Source organism: Homo sapiens, chromosome 5, assembly GCF_000001405.40.
Source record: "Homo sapiens chromosome 5, GRCh38.p14 Primary Assembly".
Lineage (NCBI taxonomy): Eukaryota > Metazoa > Chordata > Mammalia > Primates > Hominidae > Homo > Homo sapiens.
Window position 1 is genome coordinate 132,905,795 of NC_000005.10, and position 21,636 is coordinate 132,927,430.

General features: G+C 40.7%; 1 protein-coding gene across 4 annotated transcripts in view; it reads right to left on the reverse strand.

The window, feature by feature from the left end:
- Positions 1 to 21,636, reverse strand: part of AFF4 (ALF transcription elongation factor 4) — an 88,240-nt gene that overhangs the window by 30,400 nt on the left and 36,204 nt on the right. For 2 of the 4 annotated variants that reach the window (NM_014423.4, XM_005271963.6), the window contains one exon: positions 21,327 to 21,413. The exons of the other annotated variants lie outside the window; for them this stretch is intronic. In NM_014423.4, coding sequence (NP_055238.1) covers positions 21,327 to 21,413 — 87 coding nt within the window. The remainder of the gene's footprint in view (positions 1 to 21,326; positions 21,414 to 21,636) is intronic. 4 annotated transcript variants of the gene reach the window in all.

The following is a 21,636-nucleotide window of genomic DNA, read 5'->3' on the forward strand; positions in this document are numbered from 1 at the left end:
ATTAAGAACTTCTGTGCTTCAAAGATTGTTATCAAAAAAGTGAAAAGACAACTCACAGAATAGGAGAAAATATTTGCAAATGATGTATCTGATAAGGGGCTGGTATCCACAATATACTACAAAGAGCTCTTACAATTCAATAACAAGACAAGCCAATTAAAAAACAGGAAAAGGGCCTGAATAAACATTTACCCAAGGAAGACATATAAATGGCCAATAAGCAGATGAAAAGATTTCTCACACCTGTCATCACGGAAATACAAATCTACAATGAGATACCACTTCTCAACCACTAGGATGACTAGAATCAAAAAGACAGATGTAACAAGTGTTGACAAGTATGTGAAGAAATCAGAACCCTGGTAAGAATGCGAAATGGTACAGCTGCTTTGGAAACATTCTGGCAGTTCCTCAAATAAGTAAACACAGAGTTACCACATGACCCAGCCATTCCACTCTTAGGTACACAACCAAACAAAATGTAAACATATGTCCACACAAACACTTCTACATAAGTGTTTATAGCAATATTATTCATAACAGCCAAAAAGTGGAAACAACTCAAATGTCCATCAGCTGATGAATGTATAAACAAAATGTGATATATACTTATACACTGGAATATTATTTGGCCATAAAAAGGAATGAAGTACTGTTACATGCTACAACTTAGATGAATCTTAAAAACATAATGTTAAGTGAAAGAATATAGTCACAAAAGACCACATACTACATTATACTATTTATATAAAATGTTTAGAACAGAGAGATCTATAGAGATAGAGTAGATTAGTGGTTGCTTAAGGCTAGGAAGGTAGAGGGAAAGAGGGATAACAGCTAAAGGGTACAGTTTCTTTTTGAGTTGATGATTTATAAATAAACTCAAAACTACTGAACTCTACACTTGAAGTAGGTGAATTACATGGTAAGTGAATCACATCTCAGTACTGCTGTTAAAAAACTGTATATAGAGCAGTGGGCAAGAGGTCACTTTTGTGACTTTTGTTTAAAATGAAGATTCCAGGATGGGTGTGGTGGCTTATGCAGGTAATCCCAATACTTTGGGAGGCTAAGCAATGAGGATAGCTTGAGGCCAGGAGTTCAAGACCAGACTGGGCAACATACCAAGATCCTATCTGTACAAATAATAAAAATAAAATAAAATGAAGATTCCTTTACCCCCTCAAATTGTTTATTGTCTTATATTCATTTACTTGGTAAATGGCCTAAAAGTTAATAGCCCCATATTCCAAATAATCTGATTTATTTGTCTTATATCTGACAATAGTCAGCAGGTCCACAAATACTACTGGATTCTGTCTCTTAAACATCCACCAAAGGCGAGACCATCTGAACCGGAAAGACTTCAGGTCTTCATCTTGTTTACCTACAATGGCCTTCTAATGGATCTTCCTAGCTCTAGTTTATCTCCTTTACTCAGCTATAGCCTCCCTTCTACAGCCTGTAGAAGTTTACCCTTCTACAGCCCAAGTCTTAGTATGCGTCATCACTGCTCTCCTATTTTTCATAGAACTTCCCAATGACTCTTTGTTTTTTCCTAAGGATGAAACCCAAACTCTCTGGCAACACACTTACTCATGTATCAAAGTACTGAGAAAACAATGATAAGCAAAAACTGACAAGGGCCCTGCCCCCATGGAGCTTAACACCTATTTGAATGTCAATAATTACTACCTTTGCAAGTACTCACGCAAATCAAAGTAAAATGGCAACTGTAATAAACACAATGAAGGGCAAATACACATAATTATATTGAGTTTGTAATTGTGCATGCATGTGTACCTGTGTGCTTGTATGCATGTGTGCATATGTGTGTGTGTGTGTATGATCTAGCCAGGAAGATGAGCAAAGGCTTCCCTGAGGAACTGCCATTCAGATTGAAATTTGAAGGATATATAGGAAATAAACTGGGAAAGGAAGAGATAGGCTAAGTGCCATAGGGAGAGAGAAAACATGTGTAAAGTCCAGCTTAAAGGGAAGAGCATGGCTTGTACAAGGAACTTAAAGGCAGCCCACAGAGAGGAAAAAGTAAAGGTGGAAGAGTGGTGAGATATGAGACTGAAGACCTAAAATGCTAGATCACACAGTTTACAGACTTATAGACCATATTAAAGACCTGTGTGTGTGCAGCTTATTAAGTAGGAGAGTTACACAACTACATCTGCACATTGTGAGGATCATCTCGCCTACTAAGTGGAGAACAGTTTTAAGAAAGCTAGAATGGAGTTAAGGATACAAAATGAGGTTACTGGAGTAGTACCAGTAGGAGATAACTACAGCTTAAACAAGTTTGTCTTCCAGCTTTTTTTTTTTTAATCATATACTCCATTACTAAGAAATTTTTCCATTTGTATCTCCAAAATATGTATAGAATATGCATTACTACTTATGTATAAGATTAAAATACTGCAATTTCAAAAGCATAACAAAAATTAAATACCATTTTTAGAGTAATTTTTAAATATATTTATGAATGACAACAAAACCTTTCTTACACACAAAAATATAATGCTTCAAAGGTATGACGCTAAGATGGACTTATTTTTGATATCTGGTTTCACTGGATGCCACAAAGATATAGTTATACTCATGGAAGAAATACCATGCTTATTAAATCACAGTAACAAAATTTCAGTCCTATACATTAATTATGTAAAGAATTCTATTGAAGTTGAATTAGATTTCCATGTTCCTTGTTGTAAATCATTTAGAAAAATAAATTAGAAGGATGCATTTTATTATTTTTAGCAAATAGGTTCAAACCACTGATTAGAAATTTTTTTTCAGCTCTTTACAGTATTCATATTAGAACTGTGGTTTTTTGGTAACAAAAAACTAAAAATACATAAACAATGACAATATTATTGTTATTTTCCTAGCTTGAATGTATGTATATGTATATACACACACACTCATATATAATCTATACACTATATATATACATATATATATATATATATATTTTTTTTTTTTGAGACGGAATCTAGCTCTGTCACCCAGACTGGAGTGCAGTGGTGTGATTTCGGCTCTCTGCCACCTCCAGCTCCCAGGTTCAAGCGATTCTCCTGCCTCAGCCTTCCAAGTAGCTGGGATTACAGGCACCTGCCACCACGCCCAGTTAATTTTTATATTTTTAGTAGAGACAGGGTTTCACTGTGTTGGCCACGCTGGTCTCGAACTCCTGACCTCGTGATCCACCCACCTTGGCCTCTCAAAGTGCTGGGATTATAAGCATGAGGCACCGCACCCAGCCGCTCAAGCATATCTTTTAGGGAAGCGGTTACTTCATTCATTGTTAAAACATCATCTTTTTTTTTTTTTTTTTTTGAGATGGAGTTTCACACTCCTGTAGGATGTTTCATACTTGTTGCTCAGGCTGGAGTGCAATGGCATGATCTCTGCTCACTGCAACCTCCATCTCTTGGGCTCAAATGACTCTCCAGCTCAGCCTCCCAAGTAGCTGGGATTATAGGCGCATGCCACCACGCCCAGCTAATTTCTGTATTTTTAGTAGAGATGGGGCCGCCATGGTGGCCAGGCTGGTCTTGAACTCCTGATCTCAGGTGATCCACCCGCCTCAGCCTCCCCAGGTGCTGGGATTACAGGCATGAGCCACCACAATAGGCCAACATCATCTTTACTCTGAAGAGAGAAGGGGGTTTAATTATTTTTTAAAAATACATTATGAAAAGATACATATAGCATATTTCGTGGTGGTGTGCGTGTGTGTGTGTGTATCTGTGTGTGAGATAGAGAGATTAAAAAGAGAGAGGTGTCTAACTCATTTTTAAGTGGGATAACTGATATCATGAAACAATTTCTATGTTAGTGTAAAAAATATTCAGATTCACTCCTCATTTCATTACAGAATATATTGTACAGAGCATGATTCTATAACTGAGTTGAAGATATTCACAGTTCCAGACATTTCTGGCTTCAACATCATTGTTCCAACACTGCAACTGTGCATAAACTGCACTTTTGCCATTACTCTTGCCTTGTCCTGGGTTCCTTTTTGTAATTCCTGTTAAAGCAGCTACTGTATCAACAGGTGGAAGGGGAAGGTAAAGAGGGAAGGAGATGGGGAGGAGAAGATAAGATTTGTGAAGCACCTAGGTAAAGAGGTTCTAGGTAAAGAACAGAATACAAAGAGAAGACAACTTACGTCTAAGTGTGATGCACACAACTACACATCCAATTAAACACTAATAAATAATTCCTATTGCTTTCTTTTGTATTATTGATTTCTACAACCAAATGTTTGGTACAGGCAAAACACATTTCTTGTTTCACACTTCCTTATAACACCCAGCAAAATACCAGGGAAAAATAGCAAATATGAATCAATCTTTAGTAAGTTTTATTCTAAACAAAAGGAGTGACTGATGAATCACATGGAACAGAGGGATTGAATTGTTTTTGTTTTTAAATGGGACCAATTCAAGGAGAGAGATGAATATACTAAACCAGCTCCCCAATATGATCCTAAACTTAGCACCATTTGCCGCCTGTGAACTGCTCTTTCAGACTCGTCAATGGTGTGAAGTGCTTTCTGATGTGTTCCTTATCAACCCACATCTTGCTAGCACTCCTATACTTCTCCTTCAAACTCTAATTGGTGTCACCTCCTGTAGGATGCTAACCCCAAATTCCCTAGGTATAACAACTTTCTCCCTTCTCTGTCCTCTCATTGGACTTGGTACATATAGTTAGTGCACATGGAGAGTAAGTACCTATTAAAGTATCACACAGAGCTTTTAGGTATATTACACATGAAGTTGTACCCACTTAAATTTGGAGAATGAGATAAGCTATCGGTAAGAAGCAACCCACCTTAGCAACAGTCAGTCAGTAGCTGAGGTGTCTCACAAACACCAAAATCTAAACACTGTTACTTGAGTATATACATCCAAATTCAGTTAACAAACATTCATTGAACAGCTACTTTGTGCCAGAACTATTCTAAGCATTGGCACAGCGTTTTCCTATGTTCTTTAAATACCCATCTTAGAGCAAGAACATTTAAATTGTACAGCGTTCTATCTCCAGTGTCAAGAACACTGCTGGAGGTTGTTCCAAACATGGTGAGTAAGTGCAAAGGCAATCAAAATCTTTAATATTCTCCAAACTATCACTGGAAAATCTCCCAAGCTATCCCCAACTATACCCATATTCTCTGCTTCCCTCTGGTGCCAATGAAGTAGTGGTGTTCTATTCTAAAGCTACTGTCCTCTACTTGGGCACTGAATCTCAATCACTCTTGTGAAGATTTCCTAAGGTTACCTCTTCTCTTTCCCATGGATCATTTGTTTTTCCCTTTCTACTAAGCCATCAGCATTATAAAAATAACAAAATATCTTCATCTTATAAAAACACTCCCCGACATCACCATACAGTTCTTGGTATCACATTCTCTGTTTGCTTCAAAAGACACTCTGATATCTTTTGAGACTAGTACAACTAGTCTTTTACCCTCATCTTTCTACTAAAAATCTTTGTCATTAATAAAGAACAAGTTGTCAAATCTCATGCCAGGAACATAGTAAGAAGTTAATAAATATCTGTTTAATTAATAAATATATAAGCACTATCAAATTTTTATTGATAACATGTCTAACATAAAAATATGTATTAAATGTCTAACAGCAGATTAGACATCGCAGAACAACAGATTAGTGAACCTAAAGACACAGCAATACAAACCATGCAAAATGGAGCAATACAGTATAAGACCTCCCACAAAAAAAAAGAAAAAAAAAGAAAGAACAGAACATCAGTGAACTCTGGGACAACTTTAAGGGGCCTAATATACATGTAATTGGAGTCCTTGAAGACGACGACAAAAGGGGAGAAGAGGGTAAAAAAAAAAATTGAGTAATAGCAAGTTTCCCAAATTTGATGGAAACTATAAGACCAAAATTTCAAGAAGCTGAACAAACCTCAAGCACGAGAAAGATAAAGAGAACTACAGGAGAACGTATCATAACTGAACAGATTAAAAGCAATGATTAAAAAAAAACTTAAAGACCGCCAAAAAAAAAAAAGGACATTTTACATACAAAAAAAAGAATGACAACAATGTACATATCAAAAACAATGCAAGCTGGCAGATAGTTGCAAGGGGGCAAGGTCCTCAATCTAGAATTCTATAGCTGGCAAAAACACTTTAAAAATAAAAATGGAAAGGCAAAATAAAGATTTTTTCAAAGTACTAAAAGAAATATTAAAGAAAGTCCTCCAGATAATAGTAAAATGGGCCAGGTGCGGTGGCTCACACCTGTAATCCCAGCACTTTGGGAGGTGGAGGTTGGCGGATCACCTGACGTCAGGAGTTCGAGATTGTCTCTACTAAAAATACAAAAAAAAAAAAAAAAAAACATTTAGCAGGGCGTGGTGGCAGGCACTTGTAATCCCAGCTACTCCAGAGACTGAGGCAGAATTGCTTGAACCAGGGAGGTGGAGGTTGCAGTGAGCCAAGATTGCACCACTGCACTCCAGCCTGGGTGACAGAGCAATACTCTGTCTCAAAAAAAAGTAAAGATAACAAACTGTGTTTACTTATTTTGAGACAGGGTCTCACTACCACCCAGACTGGAGTGCAGTGGAGTGATGATGGCTCACTGCAGCCAAGACCTCCGGGGCTCAAGCTATTTTCCCACCTCGGCCTCCTGAGCAGCTGGGACCACAGGTACGTATCACCACACTCAGGTAATTTTTTTATTTTTTGTAGAGACAGGGTCTCACTATGTTGCCAAGGCTGGTCTCAAACTCCTGGACTCAAGTGATCCTCCTTCCTCGGACTCCCAAAGTGCTAGGATTATAGGTGTGAGCCATTGCGCCCAGCCTAAAAGATAATATATTGTTTAAATAAAAAATAGTAACAATATTGTGCCATTTATACTTTATGTGGAAGTAAAACATAAACAACAATCATACAGATTCTACGACGGGAGAAATGCAAGTATAATGACAATAGGGTCTTATACAGCAGAAAAGGATGGTATAAAATCACTTGAAGATAGAGGCTGACACACACACAACACACACACACACACACACACACACACAAAAGGGCTGATGAGACAGAGAAATCAAAAAGCAAGATAGTAGATTTAAGCCCAACTGTATAAATAATCACATTAAATGTAAGTGGTCTGAACACCCTAATTAAAGAGCAGAGTGTCAGATTATATTTAAAAAGCACAACAAAATCATATACTACCTACAAGAAATGCATTTTAAGTATAAGAACATAAACAGGTTAAAAGCAAAAGGTTGGAAAAAACTATACCATGCTAACATTAAATAAAAGAAAGCTGGAGCTGATCATATTAATATAAAAGTAAATTTTACAGCAAAGAATATTATAAGATTTAAAAGGGGTTGTTTCATAGTAATAAAGACTCAACTCATTAAGAGGTAACAATCCTAAATGTTTATGCACCTAAAAACAGAGTTTGAGAAAGCATGAAGAAACAAAGCAAGAACATATATACAAATCCAAAATTATAGTTGGAGTTAACTCTCAATAATAGATAATTGATAGAATTAAAATGAGTAAGGATATAGAAGATTAGTATAACACTATAAGCCAACTTGACCTAACAGGACACTCCACTCAACAACAGCAGAATACGCTTCTTTTTGAGAAAGGGTCTTTCTCTGTCACCCAGGCTGGAGTACAGTGGCATGATCATGGCTCACTGTAGCCTTGACCTCTTGTGCTCAGGCAATCCTCTTGTTTCAGCCTCCTGAGTAGTTGCAACTGCAGGTGCCCACCACCGTGCCCGGCTGATTTTTAAATTTTTGGCAGACATGAGGTCTGGCTGTTGCTCAGGCTGGTCTCAAACTTCTGGCCTCCAGGGATCCTCCCACCTCAGCCTTCTAAAGTGTTGGGATTACAAGCGTGTGCCACCACACTGGCTGGAATACACATTCTTTTCAAGTGTACACAAAACATTAGCAAAAAAAGACAATAATCTGGAACATGAAATAAGTCTCAATCTCATACAATGTATGCTTCATGACCACAATGGAATTAAATCACAAATCAAAACAGAAAATATGCAGAAAATCTCCAAATATTTGGGAACCAACACAGTTAGATATAATCCAAAAAACAAGAAATTAGGCCAGACACGGAGGCTCACCCCTGTAATCCCAGCACTTTGGGACACCGAGGTGGGTGGATCGCTTGAGTCCAGGAGTTTGAGACCAGCCTGACCAACATGGTGAAACCCAGTCTCTACTAAAAATACAAAAATTAGTCAGGCATGGTAGTGTATGCTTGTAATCCCAGCTACTTGGGAGCCTGAGGCAGGAGAATCCTTTGAACCGGTGAGGTGGAGGTTACAATGATTCGAGATCTCACCACTGCACTCCAGCCTGGGCAACGGAGCAAGACTCCATCTAAAAATAAATAAATAAATAAAATAAGAAAATAAGAAAAATCTCAATTAAATGACCTTAGCTTCCACCTCAAGAAATCTGTTAAAAAGATGAGCAAGCCGGGCGCAGCGGCTCACGCCTGTAATCCCAGCATTTTGGGAGGCTGAGGCGGGCAGATCATGAGGTCAGGAGTTCGAGACCAGCCTGACCAACATGGTGAAACCCCGTCTCTAATAAAAATACAAAAATTAGCCAGGCATGGTGGCATGTGCCTGTAATCCCAGCTACTCAGGAGGCTGAGGCAGGAGAATCGCTTGAACCCGGAAGGTGGAGGTTGCAGTGAGCCGAGATCACGCCACTGCACTCCAGCCTGGGAGACAGAGCAAGACTCCATTTCAAAAAAAAAAAAGAAGAACAAATTAAACCATAAGAAAGCAGAAAAGTGAAAGATCAGGGTGGAAATCAGTGCAATAAAAAACAAAAACAACAGAGAAAGAAAAAACAGCTATCAAGAAAACTGACAATCTCTAGCCAGGACACTCAAGAAAAAGACAAGAAAACAAATTACCGGAATAGGGAATAAGAGAAGTGCTATCATAATAGAATATGTTATATGTATAAGAGAATATTATAAAAAACTTACAGCAATTTGTTAACTTTGGTAATTCATAGATAAAATGGACAAATTCCTTGAAAGATATAAACAACGAAAGATCATTCAAGGAGAAATAGATAACATGAGTAGCCCTATAGCTACTAAAGAAGTCTAATTTTTGCTTAAAAACCATCTTACAAAGAAAGCTCATAACCAGAGATAAATTCTAACAAACACTTAAAAAAAAATACCATTTCTGGCCAGGCACGGTGGCTCATGCCTGTAATCCCAGCACTTTGGGAGGCCGAGGCAGGCGGATCACGAGGTCAGGAGATGGTCTAGACCATCCTGGCTAACACAGTGAAACCCTGTCTCTACTAAAAATACAAAAAATTAGCTGGGCGTGGTGGCGCATGCCTGTAGTCCCAGCTACTCAGGAGGCTGAGGCAGGAGAATGGCATGAACCCGGGAGGCGGAGCTTGCAGTGAGCCGAGATCACACCACTGCACTCCAGCCTGGGTGACAGAGCAAGACTGTCTCAAAAGAAAAAAGAAAAAAGAAAAAATACCATTTCTATACACACTATTCCAGAAAATGGAAGGGGAAGCAATTATTTCCCAATCCATTCTATAAGGCCATCATTACTCAGATACCAAAACAAGGCAAGGATATGAAACCACCCTCACAGGGTTAAACAGAATTCTGGACAGAAATATAATTATAATTAAGCATTAATTATACTGCACTTTGACCCACTTCTTTTTTTTGGGTTTTTTTTTTTTTTTTTGAGATGGAGTCTCGTTCTGTCACTCAGGCTGGAGTGCAGTGGTACGATCTCGGATCACTGCAACCTCCACCTCCCAGGTTCAAGCGATTCTCCTGCCTCAGCCTCCTGGGTAGCTGGGACTACAAGCACCCACCACCACGCTCGGCTAATTTTTGTATTTTTAGTAGAGATGGGGGTTTCACCATATTGGCCAGGCTGGTCTTGAACTCCTGACCCTGTAATCCCAGAGTGCTGGGATTACAGAAGTGAGCCACTACGCCCGGCTGACTCACTTCTTTGTAACAGGAAGTCACTAACACTAGATACTGACCATCAGCATCCCCATTGTTCCTATAGATAGAATTTCTGACATTAGAAACTTAAGGCTTTTGTTTAAGAATTGCTTAAGGCCAGGTGTGGTGGCTCACATCTGTAACCCCAGTACTTTGGGAGGGTGAGGCAGGTGGATCACGAGTTCAGGACCAGCCTGGGCAACACTGGGAAACCCTGTCTCTACTAAAAAATTATCTGGGTGTGGTGGCGGGCACCTGTAATCCCAGCTACTCAGGAGGCTGAAACAGGGAGAATCACTTGAGCTTGGGAAGCGGAGGTTGCAATGAGCTGATATCATGCCACTGCACTCTAGCCTGGGTGACAGAGTAAGATGCTGTCTCAAAAAAAAAAAAAAAAAAAAAAAAAAAAGAATCACTTAAGCAGGACAGTCTCAATAGCTCATGCTTATCAACCCAGTGCTTTGAGAGGCTTAGACAGGAGGATTGCTTTAGCCCAGGAGTTTGAGACCAGCGTGGGCAACATCATGAGACCCTGTTTCCATAAATTTTTTTTTTTAAAATCAAGAGTTGCTTAAGCACAGTGGAACAGCTGAAGCCAACCAGTTTAAAGATCTCCACAGGGGAACAGAATCAGCATGAGAATACTGCTTGTACATCTTCCTATCCCATAATTTCACCTAGCATTCTTTGACAAATCAATGATCTTAATACTTCAGCCCACTCCAAAATCCTTAAAAGCCATGGTCTCAACTCCTTGGGAAGACAGATTTGAGGTTTCCTCTCATCTCTTCGTTTGGAGGCCCTATAATTAAACTCCTTCTCTGCAGCAACCCAGTGTCTCTGTTATTGACTTGCTGTGTGCATCAGACAACAGACCTGTTATGGTTACAGATTTAAGAAGGGAACAATACAGACCAAGATAGCCCAGGAATACAGACGCAAAAATTAGAAAAAACTTTTAAAATCAAATTCAGCACTATAAAAAAATACATCATGACCAAGTAGAGTTTACATCAGGAATGTAATATTGATTTAACATTTAAAATTTAACCAACGTTTTTTGTTTTTTTTTGTTTTTTTGAGATAGAGTTTCGCTCTTGTTGCCCAGGCTGGAGTGCAATGGGGTGATCTTGGCTCACCGCAACCTCCACCTCCTGGGTTCAAGCGATTCTCCTGCCTCAGCCTCCCGAGTAGCTGGGATTACAGCCATGTGCCACGCGCCCAGCTAATTTTGTATTTTTAGTAGAGACAGGGTTTCTCCATGTTGGTCAGGCTGATCTCGAACTCCTGACCTCAGGTGATCCGCCTGCCTCAGCCTCCCAAAGTGCTGGGATTACAGGTGTGAGCCACCACGCCCAGCCAAATTTAACCAATGTTATTCACCATATTAATACAAATCAAAACAGGAAAATCTTATGATCATTCCAATAGATTTAAAAAATATTCAACAAAATTCAAAATTCATTCCTAATGAGAACTCTTAGGCAAAGAGGAATAGAAGAATTTCCTCAATGTAATAAATGACATCCACAAAAAGCCTGCAGCTAACATCACACTTAATAATGAAAGACTGGATACTTTCTCCTCTATGATAAAAAATAAGGCAAGAATGTCTAATCTCACTACTGGCATTCAACATCATACTAGAGATTCTACCTAGTGCAATAAAGCAAGAATATAAAATAAGGCATCCATTTGAAACAAACATTATAAAATCTTTATTCACAGGTGAAATGATTGTCTAGGAAATATATGGTATCTACAAAAATGCTATTAAGTAAATTTAGCAAAATTACAAGATGAAACATAAAATTATACATGAAAGGTATTTCTTTTTCTTTTCTTTTCTTTTTTTTTTTTTTTTTTTTTTTTTGAGACAGAGACTCACCTTGTCGCCCAGGCTGGAGTGCAATGGCGCAATCTCGGCTCACTGCAACCTCCACCTCCCAGGTTCAAGGAATCCTCTTGCCTCAGCCTCCCAAGTAGCTTGGATTACAGGTGTGTGCCACCGCACACAGCTAATTTTTGTATTTTTTTAGCAGAGATGGGGTTTCTACTAAACCATCTTGGCCAGGCTGGTCTTGAACTCCCGACCTCAGGTGATCCTCCTTCAGCCTCCCAAAGTGCTGGGATTACAGGCATGAGCCACCGCATCCAGCCCATGAAATGTATTTCTATAAATTAGCAAGGAAAAATCAAATACTGAAATTTTTATAAAATTCCATTTATAATAGCACTAAAAAAATCAAACAGGGCCGGGTACTGTGGCTCATGCCTGTAATCCCAGCACTTTGGGAGGCCAAGGTGGGCAGACCACTTGAGGCCAGGAGTTCGAGACTATCCTGGCCAACATGGTGAAAAGCCATCTTTACTAAGAGTATAAAGATTAGCTGGGTGTGGTGGCACTGGTCTGTAATCCCACCTACTTAGAAGGCTGAGGCTACAGTGAGCCAAGATCGTGCCACTGCACTCCAGCCTGGGTGACAGAGCAAGACTCTGTCTCACACACACACAAAAAAATCAGCCAGGCACAGTGGCTCATGCCTGTAATCCCAGCACTTTGGGAGGCCGAGGCAGGTGGATCAGTTGAGGTCAGGAGTTAGAGACCACCCTCGTCAACATGGTAAAACCTCGTCTCTACTAAAAATATAAAAATTAACTGGGCATCATGGTGGGCGCCTGTAATCCCAGCTACCTGGGAGGCTGAGGCAGGAGAATCGCTCGAACCCAGGAGGCGGAGGTTGCACTGAGCACCACTGTACTCCAGCCTGGGTGACAGAGTGACACTCTTTCAAAAAACAAAAAGATAACTCTAACAAAAGATGTCCAAAATCTACATATTGAAAACTACAAAACAATACTGAAAGAAATTAAATTAGACCAAAATAGAGAGAAATAAGGACTCATGGGTCAGAAGATTCAATATTGCTAAGACGTCAATTCTCCCCAAATTGATCTATAGATCCAACACAATCCCTGTCAAAATCCCACAAGACTTTTATGTTGAAATTGACAAGGTGTTGTTTGTTTGTTTTTTTTTTTTTTTGAGACAGAGTCTTGCTCTGTCACGCAGGCTGGAGCACACGCAATGGCATCATCTTAGCTGACTGCAACCTCTGCCTCCCAGAGACTCCTGCCTCAGCCTCCTGAGTAGCTGGGATTACAGGTGTGCACCACCATGCCCCGTGCCCAACTAATTTTTGTGTTTTTAGTAGAGACGGGGTTTCACCATGTTGGCCAGGCTAGACTCAAACTCCTCCTTAGGTGATCCACCCACCTCGGCCTCCCAAATTGCTGGGATTACAGGTGTGAGCCACTGTGCCCAGCCTAAAATTCTTATGAAAATGCAAAGAGCCTAGAAAAGTCAAATCTACTTTGAAAAACACTAATATAATTTGAGGATTTACATTGTAGTGACTTTACAGTAAGTCTCAAAGTCAAATCATCAAGACAGGCTCATATTGGCACCATGACAGACAAACAGGTTAATGAAACATAAAATGTCAGAAATGCATCACACATACAGAGTCAACTACAACTGCAAAGGCAATTCAATGGAAAGAGAAGGCTTTTAAATAAAGATGCTAATTGGATATGTACATACAAGAGGATAAAACTTCATTCCATATATTGTAACAATATAGAAAAATTAGCTTAAGATAAATCATAGATCTAAATGTAAAACCTAAAACTATAAAAAAACTAGGAAAGGCTGGGCACAGTGGCTCATGCTTATAACTGTAGCACTTTGGGAGGCCAAGGCAGGTGGATCATTTAAGCTTAGGAGTTCGAGACCAGGCTGGGCAACATGGCAAAACCCCATCTCTACTAGAAATACAAAAATTAGCCGGGTGTGGTGGCATGCACTTGTAATTCCAGCTATTCGGGAGACCAAGGCATGAGAATCGCTTGAGCCCAGGAGTCAGATGTTGCAGTGAGCCAAGATCACACCACTGCACTCCAGCCTGGGTGACAGAGTGAGACTCTTTCAAAAACAGAAAAGAAAGCCTAGGATAACTGAGAGCAGAGTCCCAGCTATGCAGGAAGCAGAGGAGGTGGGATGGTCACCTGAGCCCACAAGTTCAAGACTAGCCAGGGCAACACAGAGAGACCTGGTCTCTTATTTAAAAGAAAAAAAAAAAGTCTAGGAAACAACATAGGAGGATTTGGGTTAGGCAAAGATTTTTCTTTTTCTTTTTTTCTTTTTTTTCAGATGGAGTCTTGCTCTGTTGCCCAGGCTGGAGTGCACTGGCGCAATCTTGGCTCACTGCAACCTCCGCCTCCTGAGTTCATGTGATTCCCCTGCCTCAGTCTCCCGAGTAGCTGGGATTACAGATGCCCGCCACCATGTCTGGCTAATTTTTATATTTTTAGTGGAGTCGGAGTTTCACCATGTTGGCCAGGCTGGTCTCGAACTCCTGACCTCAAGTGATCTGCCCACCTCAGCCTCCCAAAGTGCTGGGATTACAGGTGTGAGCCACCAGCCCAGCGGGCAAACATTTTTTTTTTTTTTTTTTGAGACAAGGTCTCACTCTGTCACCTAGGCTGGAGTGCAGTGGCATAATCATGACTCACTGCAGCCTCAACCTCCCAAGCTCAAATGATCCCCCACCTCATCCTCCCAAGTAGCTGGGACTATAGGTCATGCCACCACGCCTGGCTAATATTTACATTTTTTGTAGAGGTGGGGTCTTGCCTTGTTGACCAGGCTAGTCTCACACTCCTGACCTCAAGTGATCTACCCACCTTGGCCTCCCAAAGTGCTAGGATTACAGGCAAGAGCCACCTCACCCAGCCAGGCAAAGATTTCATAGACACCAAAATCATGACCCGTAAAAGAAAACACTGAAGAAGTGGACTTTATAAAAGTTAACATGTGTTCTTAGAGGGACACTATTAAGAGAATGAAAAGGTAGTCCACAGAGCAAGAAAACAAAATTTTCAAATCACATATATGATAATGGCAGTAAGAATCTTAGCCCATTTCAGGCCGGGCGCAGTGGCTCACGCCTATAATCCCAGCACTTTGGGAGGCCGGGGTGGGCAGATCATAAGGTCAGGAGATCGAGACCATCCTGACTAACACGGTGAAATCCCGTCTCTACTAAAAATACAAAAAATTAGTCAGGCATGGTGGCAGGCGCCTGCAGTCCCAGCTACTCGAGAGGCCGAGGCAGGAGAATGGTGTGAACTCGGGAGGCGGAGCTTGCAGTGAGCCGAGATCGCGCCACTGCACTCTAGCCTGAGCGACAGAGCGAGACTCTGTCACAAAAAAAAAAAAAAAAGAATCTTAGCCCATTTAAAAATGGGCAAAATATTCAGACACTGCACCAAAGATGGGCAAAATATTCAGACACTGCACCAAAGAAGATAAGCAAATGGCAAATCAGTACATGAAAAGATGCTCAAGATACTCTGTCTCTAGAGAAATGTAAATTGAAATCACAATGAGGTACCACTATAATACTGCTAGAAGGCTAAAGTTTTAAAAGACTGACAATATCAAGTGTTAGTAAGGACATGGAACAAGTGGAACTCTCATATACCATTGGCAGGAATAAAAAATGGTTCAACCACTTTGGAAAATAGTATGACAGTTGTTTTCTTTTTTTTTTCTTTTTTTTTTTTTTGAGACAGTTTCGCTCTTGTTGCCCAGGCTGCAGTGCAATGACACGATCTCGGCTCACTGCAACCTCCACCTCCCAGCTTCAAGTGATTCTCCTGCCTTAGCCTCCAAGTACCTGGGATTATAGGCATGCGCCACCATGCCTGGCTAATTTTGTATTTTTTGTAGAGATGGGGTTTCTCCATGTTGGTCAGGCTGGTCTCAAATCCCAACCTCAGGTGATCCACCCACCTTGGCCTCCCAAAGTGCTGGGATTACAGGCGTGAGCCACTGCGCCCAGCATGACAGTTGTTTTCTAATTTTTTCTTTCCCCCCCAGAGAGAGTCAGTCTCTGTGACCCAGGCTAGAGAGCAGTGGCATGATCTCTGCTCACTGCAGCCTCAACCAGCTGCAGTCAAGCAATCCTCCCAGCTTAGCATCCTGAGTGGCTGAGACTACAGGCCTGTGCCACCATGCCTGGGTAATTTTTTTTTTAATTTTTTGTGGAGACAGAGTCTCATTATGTTGCCTACACTGGTCTCAAACTCCTGGACTCAAGTGATCCTCCCACATCAACCTCTCAAAGTACTAGGACTACAGGTGTGAGGCATAGACACCTACCATATACCTAACCACCCCACTAATAGGCATTTATAATACAGACATAAAAACAGGCCAGATGTAGTGGCTCACGCCTGTAATCTCAGCACTTTAAGAGGCCAAGGCAGGAGGACCGCTTGAGCCCAGGAGTTCAAGAGCAGCCTGAGCAATGTGGCAAAACCTCGTCTCTACAAAAAAATACAAAAATCAGCCAGACATAGTGGCATGCACCTGTAGTCCCAGCTACTTGGGAGGCTGAGGTGAGAGACTGCTTGAGTCCGGGAGTTCGTGAGTGCAATGAGCCATGATCATGCCACTGCACTCTAGCCTGGACAACAGAGACCTTGTCTTAAAAAGAAAGAAATAAAAGTATACATTTATACAAAGATTTATACACAAATATTCACATCAGCTTTATTTTTAATAACCAAAAATGAGGTTGGGCTCAGTGGTTCATGCCTGTAATCCCAGCACTTTGGGAGGCCGAGGCAGGCGGCTCACGAGGTCAAGAGATCAAGACCATCCTGGCCAACATGGTGAAACCCTGTCTCTACTAAAAATACAAAAATTAGCTAGGCGTGGTGGCACGTGCCTGTAGTCCCAGCTACTTGGGAGGCTGAAGCAGGAGAATTGCTTGAAACCAGGAGGTGGAGGTTGCAATGAGCCAAGATCACGCCACTGCACTCCAGTCTGGCGGTAGAGCGAGACTCCATCTCAAAAAAAAAAAAAAAAAACCAAAAACTAGAAGCAACCCAAATGTCCATTAGTAGATAATTAGGTAAATTATGATGCCACATAACTGAATATTACCTTAGTAATTAAAAAGAATGGGGGCCGGGCACAGTGGCTCACATCTGTAATCCCAGCACTTTGGGAGGCCGAGGTGGGCAGATTAGGAGGTAAGGAGATTGAGACCATCCTGGCCAACATGGTGAAACCTCGCCTCTACTAAAAACACAAAAAAGTAGCCGGGCGTGGTGGTGCGTACCTGTAGTCCCAGCTACTCAGGAGGCTGAGGCAGGAGAATCACTTGAACCTGGTAGGCAGAGGCTGCAGTGGGCCAAGATTGCACCACTGCACTCCAGCCTGGGCAACAGAGCAAAACTTTGTCTCAAAAAAATAATAATAATTTTTTAAAGTCAGCCAGGCATGGTGGTGCATGCCTGTAGTTCCCGCTACTCAGGAGGCTGAGGCAGGAGGATCACTTGAGCCTGGGAGGTCGAGGCTGCAATGAGCCATGATCCCGCCACTGCACTGCGGCCTGGATGACAAAGTGAGACCCTGTCGCAAAGAAAGAAAGGAAAGAAAGGAGAGAGAGAGAGAGAGAGAGAGAGAGAAAGCAAGGAAGGAAGGAGGGAGGGAGTCAGTGAGTGAGTGAGTTAGTTTTCAGTTTACTATAAATTTAGTGGTGGGCACAGTAGCTTGTGCTTGGGACACTGAAACAGAAGGATGGCTTGAAGTCAGGAGTTTGAGACCAGCCTGAGCAGTAGAGTGAGACCCCCGTCTCTATGTAAGTCTGGCATGGTGGTAAGCACCTGTAGTGCGTGGTAGTCAAGAGGCTGAAATGAGAGGATTGCTAGTGCTCAGGAGTTCAAGGGTATAGTGAGCTATATGATCACACCACTGTACTCCAGCCTAGGTAAGACCAGCCTAGGCAAGACCTCAGTCTCTAAAAAATTAAAATAAAATAAATAAGTAAAATTTAACATGCACTTACCCTATGAACCAGCAATTCTACTTTTTACTATGTGACCCAGTATTTACCCAGGATAAAAGAAAACATGAATGTTTATAGATGCTTTATTCTTAACAGTCTAAATCTGGAAATAACCCAAATGCTCATCAACAGGAAGCAAATTTTGGTGTTTCCATATAATAAAATACTGATTGGGAATAAAAAAAGAAAAACTGGGCCAGGCGTGGTGGCTCACGCCTGTGATCCCAGCACTTTGGGAGGCTAACGCAGGTGGATCACGAGGTCGGGAGTTTGAGACCAGCCTGACCAGCATGATGAAACCCCGTCTCTACTAAAAATACAAAAATCAGCCAGGCGTGGTGGTGCATGCCTGTAATCCCAGCTACTTAGGAGGCTGAGGCAGGAGAATCGCTTGAACCCAGGAGGCGGAGGTTGCAGTGAGCCGAGATCATGCCACCGCACTCTGGCCTGGGCAACAGACTGAGACTCTGTCTCAAAAAAAAGAAAAAGAAAAAGAGAAACCATGGATATAATCAAGAACATGGAAGAATTACAAAACTAAATACTGAGCAAAAGAAAGTAAATATATAAAAGAAGCACATGATGTACTGATTCCATTTACATGAAATTCTAGAAAAAGCAAAACTTATCTAGAGTGACATAAAATAGATCAGAAATTGCATAGGGACAGTGGTGGAGGCGAGGGAGACTACAAAGGAACATGAAGAAATTTGGGGGTGATGGAAATGTTCTAATTCCTAATTATGGTGGTGGTTATACAGGTGCACATATCTATCAAAACTCAAACTGCAGGCTGGGCGCGGTGGCTCACGCCTGTTAATCCCAGCACTTTGGGAGGCAAAGGCAAGTGGATAACCTGAGGTCAGGAGTTCGAGACCAGCCTGGTCAACATGGTGAAACCCTGTCTCCACTAAAAATACAAAAAATTAGCCAGGCGTGGTGGCGTGTGCCTGTAATCTCAGCTACTCAAGAAGATGAGGCAGGAAAATCGCTTGAACCCAGGAGGCGGAGGTTGCAGTGAGTCGAGATCGCACCAGGTGACACAGCAAGACTCCATCTCAAAACAAACTAACAAAAAACAAAACTCAAACTGCACATTAAATAACAGTGCATTGGCCAGGTGCGTTGGCTCACACCTGTAATCCTAGCACTTTGGGAGGCCAAGGCGGGTGGATCACCTGACGTCAGGAGTTCAGACCAGCCTGGCCAACATGGTGAAACCCTGTCTCTACTAAAAATACAAAAATCAGCTGGGCGTGGTGGCGGGCACCTGTAGTCCCAGCTACTCGGGAGGCTGAGACAGGAGAATCGCTTGAACCCAAGAGGCAGAGGTTGCAGTGAGCCAAGATCACACCATTGCACTCCAGCCTGGGTGACAAAGGGAGACTCCATCTCAGAAAAATAAATAAATAAATAAATAAATAAATAAATACCGGTGCATTTTGTATATGTAAACAAAGATATAAAAGGTAAGAGTGATATGGCACACATATAGACAGAAAATTTTTAAATCTACCTGACATCATTCACAAAGGTAAACATAAAAAATAAAACTAAAAACCACATTAAAATAAAAATAAGAGGGTATGTTTATGATCCTAGAGAAAGAAAAGTCTTCTTTAACAAGACATTAAAAGCAAAAACTATAAAGGAAGAGAAAGATATATTTTATTCATCAAAAATTAAAAACTTTAGACAATAAAAAGACAAGAATCTAACTGGTAGATAAATTTTCAGCATGTATAAGAAATTATTAGAATCCACAATTCAAACAAAACAACACAAAACAAAAAAGGAAGACCACCTAAAACTCAATAGGTAAAAAATGCAACCCAAAGGACAGTGAGAATAAGCAAATTTACCCACAAAGAAACCAAATGGATAACAAATATGTAAAGATGATGAACCTCACTAGCAATCAAGCAAATGGAATGCCATTTTTACTCAAAACACTGCTGTTTAATAATATCAAATGGTGGTGTGCATGTGTGAAACAACAGGTAATACAAGTGGGAATACTGGCTGGTACAAATCCTGTAATAGAACTATGGAAGGAATTTGTGAGTGTATGTATTAAATATATACTCTCAACACTCAGCAATTCTACTTTTTGCTTTCTACCCTAAAGAAAATCACATGCACACAGAAGGCACCAACAAAGATACCAACTGAAGAAACATTTATAGAAATGAAAACTTGCTATCAGCTTAAATACCAAAGAGAAATGGCTAAATAAACTAGGATATATTAACACTAAAGATGCAATAAAAAGAAACGAAATACCTCTACATGCAGTAACATGGACAGGTCCCCAAGACCTACTGCTGACTGATGAAAGATACAGAACAATATATTTGCGTAGAAATAAATAAGAAAATGCTTACATGTAATGATTATATATGTATTACATGAATATAAAAAAGACTTGCAAAGGTACTTAGGAAAGGAGCTCTGTTGGGATGAAGGGGACGGAATTGGGGAAAGGCTATTATTAGGGGGACTGGTAAAACTTTCACAAGGAGAATGTATTTCTGTATTATTTGTTTTAAGTGTAAATTAATACTGTTAAGTATAAGTTTAAAAAAAAGTCAATCTGCTGATTTTAAACAACCTTGGAACTGTTATCTGAGGAACCTCTTTCCACGGGACAAGTATGGTTGCTATGTCTTATGGAAACAGGTTCTTAAAACAACAGTTTGAGAAGCCCTTACCACCTCTGGCCTACAATACCATAATAGTCTGCAATAAATACCACTGTCTTTTTTTTTTTTTTTTAAGATAGAATTTTGCTCTGTTTCCCAGGCTGGCGTGCTGTGGTGCAATCACAGCTCACTGCAGCCTTGACCTCCCAGGCTCAAGTGATCCTCCCATCTCAGCCTCCCGAGTAACTGGGACCACGGGCCTGTGCCACTATGCCAAGCTTTTTTTTTTTTTTTTTTTTTTTTTTCCTTCCAATTTTTGGTAGAGACAGGGTCTTGCTATGTTGACCAGGCTGGTCGCAAACTCCTGGCCTCAAGAGAGTCTCTTGGCTCAGCCTTCCAAAGTGCTGGGATTACAGGAGTGAGCCACCGTGTCCGGCTGTATTAATGTCTTTTAAATCTCTCTCGCATATTGCCTTCAAAGCTTTCTTAATACCTCTTGATCCAAGATGCTCTCAGTTCCATTACCCTGCTAATTATCTTCATAACAGTTGTCACTATCTGAATTTATCTATTTATTCACTTATTTACTGTCTGTCTCCCACTAGAATAGGAATGGCAAGACAATTTTTAATCCATATGATTTTAGTCAAGCCATTTAGAGTTTTCTTACATTATGAAAGATACATTTTATTTACTTACCTTAGTTGGAAAAGGAAATTTGGAAGGTTCTGTTTTGCATGGTGTATGAATAGCCGTTAGAGGGGGAGGCCATGAATGCGTCATCTCCTGAAATGTAATTATTACAGTTTGTTTTCAACCAGGTCAAGGATAAAAATTATACAGCTAAAAACCAGATTTGTATTTATAAATACTGGTTTCATGACAGCTCCTCCAAAATTCTACATACTTAGTCAATAAATATTAAGCACAATTGTGTGCTAGGCACTATGGTGTAGGTAATAAGAAGATTAATAAATGCTCCCTGGCTTTGAGGAGTTTACAATTCAAA